Raw genomic sequence first — 6,954 nt, 5'->3', positions numbered from 1 at the left:
TGGTACAAGATACAAGTCATGCCAGGCACTGTCGAGGATACAAAGGTGAAATTAGACATGGATCCTGAGCCCATGGTGCTGATAATCTCCATGGGGAGATGAGTTACGTGCCAGATAACCAGAATGGAAGTTAGAATGTGTTAAGAAATGTAAATGTGTGGGAAGACAGGCCATGCTTTAGGTGATGAGATGAACAGGGAACGTAAGGGCGTACTAGGATACAGTACCAAAAGAGGGATTAGGGCACAGGAAGCCTTTGGGATCAATATTTCTCCCTCTATTCCCCCACCTTAAAGTCCTGACTCTTCTATCAGACTGAGCTAAAGCAGGGATGAGAAGGGAAGTGGGTCCCCTTCCCTGGAAGCATGGCTTGGACATCTTGACTCTGTTAATAGTGACAGCCAAGATCAATACCCCCAATTCTCTGAGTGTAACTGTTGGAAGAAGCACCTGCCACATAGTAGGTACTCAATATCCCTTTGCTAAATGAGTGAATGGATGTTGAGGAGGACTGATAACTCATCTGGGTTTGGTACAAGATACAAGTCAACCCAATGAAAGCATAGAAAAATATAAGAACCTGGCTGGGAGTCAGGAGATCTGGGTTTTAGTTCTGGGTTTAGTCATGTTTTACCTTCTACCTTGGGCAGGAAGTCACTTACCCATTCATTCATTCATTCATTCACTCAGTTGTTGAAAGAGCACTGAAAGTATCTACTTTGTGTCTGACTCTAGGCAATGAAAGCTGAAGAAAGGGCACAAGTGGGACAGACAGAAACATACCCAAATGATAAAGAAGTTTTATACAATTTAGGTAAGAAATGTAATAAATATTAGAATATAGAGGTGCTCTGAGATCCCTCATAAACTGTTTTGCAAACAGAGAGGATGGGATGATTGTTTTAACCTTCCTTCGTCCAGCCTGTCTGGGCAGTCTAATTTAAAGCAATATCCTTAGAGTGCATTTAAATTGCTTATATCCTGTGACACTGGGAATAGTGAGCTCCACTTCATTCTGAAAAGGATGATTGCATCAAGGAGTAAGACACAGGACATATGGGTCACATTTAATGAAAACACATAACCTAGGTTTTCTTTGATCCTGTCCATTTAATATCCTCCAGGTGAGTTTAGGAGGCACTTACACCTCTAGATGGGAGGAAGGCTGCGGCCCGGTTGCTGAGGAGGGATGCGCAGTGCCCTGTGTGGGACTCAGGGTGCAGGATGCAAGCCAAGCTCTGCTTCCACTTGCTGCTCTGCTTCCACTTTCCACTCTGCTGGAGCTGAAATAATAGCATTTATTCCTTATTCTAGAAGTATCCTGGGATTCAGCTTCCATTTTTATTATGTGTGTGTATATATTTCCAAACATACATTTGCATAGTTGAAAAAGACAGAGAAGGCACATGTCAAAATGTTATTAATAATAGCTGTCCGCTGAGTTTTTACTATGGATCAAGTGCTTTAAAAGTATTTTTCCAGTTAATCCTCATAACAAATGGATATGGCTAAGTATTCTCCCCATTTTACAGATGAGGAACCTAAGGCATCATTAGTTGGAGGTGCTTGCCTGAGCTCAGTGCCCAGCCCCCTCTCTGCCAGGTCCCGGGAACCTGAGTCCTCCTCTGCAAGGAACTCCCAGTCCAGCAGCGTCGCTTCTCTCACAGTGGTGATGTCATCCTTTCAGATGAGAGTCAGGACCCTCAAGGAATTGTGACAATCAAGGTAGGTCAAAATGGGAGAGTGGCCACGTTATTCAGTTATTCAAAATATATACATAAGATTTAAAATAACCAGATTTCAATGTTAAACATCATTCTCATTTTTGTAAATAGAAAAAAAAAGGAAAAAAAATGTGACTGAAGAGAAAAGAAAATGAAAGCAAAAGTGGAAGAGATGAACTATGAGGAAAGGAGGTGTGATCATAGATGTAGAAAATTACAATAATTGTAGGCAAATGCAGGTGTAACTCTATAGCAACAAATTCGAAAACCTAGAAGAGATGAAGCATAAATAGATGCAATAGGAGATGAAACACTTGAATAGATCGATACAATTCTTTTTACATAATGCTATTTTATTTAGAAGACCACTTCTACCGAGGCGGGTGGATCACGAGGTCAAGAGTTCGAGACCAGCCTGGCCACCATGGTGAAACCCCGTCTCTACTAAAAATACAAAAATTAGTGGTGGTGCACACTTGTAATCCCAGCTACTCGGGAGACTACCACTTCTATATTCATCAACAGATTTAAAGGAGGGGAACATGTGCTCAGATTTATAAAGGTTGATAAGGCATCCAATAAAATTCAGCAGGCTTTCCTAATAAAATTCTGAAGAAGAATAGAAGGAAATAGCTAAATATGATAAGTATTATTTGTCAAAAACCAACACCAAATATTACCAATGGTGATATGTTAAAACATTTTCATTTAAATCTGAAGCAAGGCAAGGGTATCCACTATCTCCATTATTATTCAACATCATTTTGGAGGTGCTAACAGGTTCTATAAGATAAGAAAGTGAAATAACTTGTACAGGTTGAGCTTCCCTCATCTCAAAACCTGAAATCTGAAGTGTCCCAAATTCTGAAAATTGTTGAGCACTGACATGTCGCCACAAGTGGAGGATTCCATACAGAAGTACTGAACACAAATTTTATTTCATGCATAAAATTATTTAAGATATTACATAAAATTATTTTTAGGCTATGTATATAACGTGTGTATGAAACATAAATGAATTTCATGTTAGATTTTAGTTCCATCACCAAGATATCTCTTATATATATGCAAATATTCCAAAATATAAAAAAAGTCTGAAATCTGAAACACTTCTGGTGCCAAGCATTTTGGATAAGGTATACTCAACTTGTATAAAATTTTGGAAGAGAAGAGATAAAATTGCCCTTTTGGCCAATGCCATAATTGCATCTAGAAAACCCAAATATTCTAGAGTTGGTAGCACAGGTATGTGAATACTGTCCTTGGAGGTGTGTGCAGCACACTGGCATTGGCTGAAACATGTGTGTAGTGGCTAGACATGGGAACTCAGGTGACAGCCTCTCAGTGGACAAATGGCAGAATGAGTAGAGTGGAAGCATACCATGGAATATTGGGCAGTCATTAAACAGAATGAGTCAGATCGATACTACCTGACTCAAAGGGATTTCCAGGATGCATTGTGAAATTAGGAAGGTAAGGTGCAGAGAAATTTGTGTAGCAAAGCCCCATTTTTGTGACATAACCTATGCTCCCATGTTTGAATGAGCATGAAGAAAGGTACTGGAGGATACATGCCAAGGAGGGAGATGGGGAAGTGAGGCCAACCAAGCCAAACCAGACCAGACCAAATGAGATCAGACCAGATCAAACTAGACCTGACCAGAGCAGACCAGATCAGACCAAACAAAACTACACCAGACCAGACCAACTAGTCCTGTCCAGATCAGACCAAGTCAAACCAAACCCAAACACAACAGACTGTTAAAGTGTCCCTGATTAAGCAACTTGAGTGACATCCCTTTTATGTTATGCATGTGTGTGTCTGTATGTAGATGCATATAATCATAGATGAAATGATGGTCATTGAATTATTGATGGTGACAACTCAGTGTATGGGATCTCAGGTGATTTTTATTTCCCTTGAGCTTTTTATATTAAAAAATACAGAGCGTATGTATTATTTACATAATTAGGAAAAAATGGAAAAAGTGTTTTTCATTGCAGAATGATTTTTAGAAAAGGGAGGGAAAAAAAGAACCTTACTGTTCTGCAAGTGGCAGTATAAGGGGGCCACTCTTCTTGGTGGCCCTTCTGCAGCCCACTTTGGTGAGGTGTATCTATCCCAGAGCCCACTGGGGAATGCAGAGGCTGAACACTGACTGCGTAGACCAGACCTCAGGGACCTTCATGCACACAGTATGTTTCTGGGCTCCAACCACATTGTAGTACATCTTCTGTGTCTCTGGCTTCTGCCCTGAGCCTCTTCCCAGAAATTTCAGGAGAGAGACTGGGAGGGACTGTAGGAAGCAGAGTGAGCTCGAAGTCCTCTTCCAGGACAGGAAACCAAGTCCTGCTGTGGCCACACAGAAACGAAAAGATAAAGTTGATCGGGGCACAGGACCGAGTCATTCCTAAGGGAGCTCACATTTTCGCATATTGATGCATAAGAAGAATCTCTAGTTACACTGGTGTAATTCTCCAGGCTTTTCTCTTCTCTGGTTCGAAACTGCTCTGGATCACGTGGCTTTCCAGGGAGACCTGTGGGATTAAGAAGAGAGTGGGCCTACAACCCCATTTCCAGTTGTCTACTATAGAAAACAAAGTACAGGCTCTCATCTGAATCTGTGGGCAGAGTCTGGCTGGGCTCTCTATAATCCTTCCCTGGTCTTCCCTGGCTCTGTAACTAAGAGTTGAGCACTTCCACACTCTCTCCCCACAAGTCTTGATGCTGGAAAGGAAAGCATTGCAAAGCCACAGCTCAGTGTTGCAGCTTTGTTTTCACGCAAATCTTAAACTCTCTTTGTTCTCACCTCTGTCATCCCTTTACTTTTATTTACCTGATGCTAGGAAAGAGTTAGGTCTAATGGCTGAGACATGAAAAATGTCAAAGACCAGCATGAGAACTAGGCCCAGGGGTGCCTCTTCCAGTCTCTTTCTCAAGTAGCTTTCTCAGTTTTGGGGGACATTGACGAAGTCTCCCACAATATCTTACACTAAGTAGTTGTTTGATAAATATGTATTGAAGTAAGGTCTTTATCTCCCCCAATACCGCATGTGAGAGGCCACGAATAAACCTGCCTGCTTCACTCACATGTCAGCACGGGCTTGTTTATCTGGTTAACTCACAGACCTATCCATCTGTTAGAATAGCTGGGCGTTGTGGCGGGTGCCTGTAATCCCAGCTACTTGGGAGGCTGAAGCAGGAGAATCGCTTGAACCCAGGAGGCAGAGGTTGCAGTGAGCCGAGATCATGCCACTGCACTCCAGCCCGGGCAACAAAGCAAGACTCCATCTCAAAAAAAGAGAAAAGTCCCCTTTCATTCTCTGGAACTCCTTAGGCCCTGATAGAATGAGTCAAGGGCAGACATCTTTTGAGGCCTGGGGCAGTGGGGGGAGGACAAGCAGGGAGGGAGTGGTAGATCCAGAGAGGCCCTGCCACAGAGAAAGGTAGAAGGGAATGGAGTCAGGAAAGGTGGAGGAAAGCCCTTCAATAAAGCTTGGGGGACCTCAAAGATAGCCAGTGATAATGGCAACAATAATATGATAATTGCCACTGGGCAAGGATTGGAAGATAAATCATTTTCTCTCTTGCTCTCCAGGGGATGTTTATGGATTGCTTTTTCTTTTACTTTTCAGTGTTCAGGCCCAGGAACAGTAGGAAGGGATCCCTGGGCCAATGCCACATGCATTGGTTCTGGGCTGTCATGCCTGGGTTGCTGTGTCTTTCAGTAGGAGATAATTGGGTAAGGTGGGAGGAAGGGCCTTGCACACCTAACAAGGCAGGGGCCCTTGTACGGACAGCTGGGCAGGGATAAGGGAGGTTTAGGAGAGGCTAGGGCAGCAAAGAAGTTCACTGTTACAAAACCAGAGAGGTAGATTGAGCCTGAGCCCCGAGCCATGGGCCAAGCCCTTTCAACACCACTCTAGCTGGCCTGGGGAAAGGGGTTCATTTCTGGCGCCAGCCCAGGTCTGAGCAGCCTAGGTTCAGGGTGAGTTCAGGTTATACTGCCTGCTTTCCTGCTCTGGGCCCCTCCCCAGCAGGACTGGCTGGCCTGCAGACCTGCAGAGAGTCAGGCCCACCTCCTCCCTGGGGACAGGGCTACCCTGACCTGTGGCTCCCTGTGCACCTTGTCTTTGTGACCCAGTGTAAGCTATTCTGGGTGGGGCCTCCATCTCTTCTCAGGCCTCCTCAGCACTTAGCAAGGTGTCTCCTACACAGGTGATCTCAGAACCAGCTTTGAGGTCATACAGACTTGGTTGCAAATTCTGCCTCTGCCTTGAATCAGCTATGTAGCCATAAGCCGGAGGAATTCTCTGAGCCTCAGTTTTCTAGCCTGTAAATCAGCAATAAATGCTTCTAAGAGCAGTTGTGAGGACTGAATGAAGTAATGCACGTGATGCGCTTGCAGCTCAGTGCTGGACACACACATGATGGCCACCAAGCCTAGAAACAGGTCTTATCACTTTGTCATGTATTATAATGTCATATTAATAAATCATTTATCATGATTTTGCCTGTGTTTGCAGAACCAGTGGCCACTCACTGATTCTGGATTGAGTTGAAAGCCCTCAACCCATGGTCATCCATTCACAGTGACAATCAGGGACAGCAGGTGTCTAAGCACTTGCTGCCTTCCATGGTCCAGATTTCCCTTGGTTGTTTCCCCTCCAGGACACCCCAGCTTTCCCCCACTTTTTGGAAGGGCTGCCATCCAGGTCTGTTTCTGATGAACAGGGAAGGTGCTCAGAGGCAGGCTGGGCCATGGGGATATCCCAGGGTAAAGTCAGTTCAGGGCATCAGCTGTTCTGTAGGGGTTGGGCACAAGCATTCCTTAGAGACCAGCAAAGCATGTGGTACTGACGCACCACCTTCAAGGCCCCACAAATCAACACTTGGATCTAATTGCTGTTTGCCTGCCACACACAGAGATTTTAAATATTCAGGAGGATCAGAAAAGTAGGCAGACTTTGAGTGGTTGCTAAATCATCAATCTGACTATTCTATACAGAGTCTTTGAGCACCTATGCGGCAAGGGCACAGAGGTCTAAGAGATGGTCCCTGTCCACAGGGGGCAATGTCTGTTTTGGGGGAAAGGAGAAAGTGCCCAGGATAGCACAAGCTGGAGAAGCTCACAGAGGGAAAGACCACCTAGACCTGCGCATTTAGTGAAAGTTGCCCAGCGGAGGTACCCACGTTGATTTAATTGTTTGTTCTTTCATGGAAACATCA

This window comes from Homo sapiens, chromosome 15 (assembly GCF_000001405.40).
Source record: "Homo sapiens chromosome 15, GRCh38.p14 Primary Assembly".
NCBI lineage: Eukaryota > Metazoa > Chordata > Mammalia > Primates > Hominidae > Homo > Homo sapiens.
The sequence above is the reverse complement of the archived record's forward strand: the minus strand, read 5'-3'. Positions refer to the sequence as shown.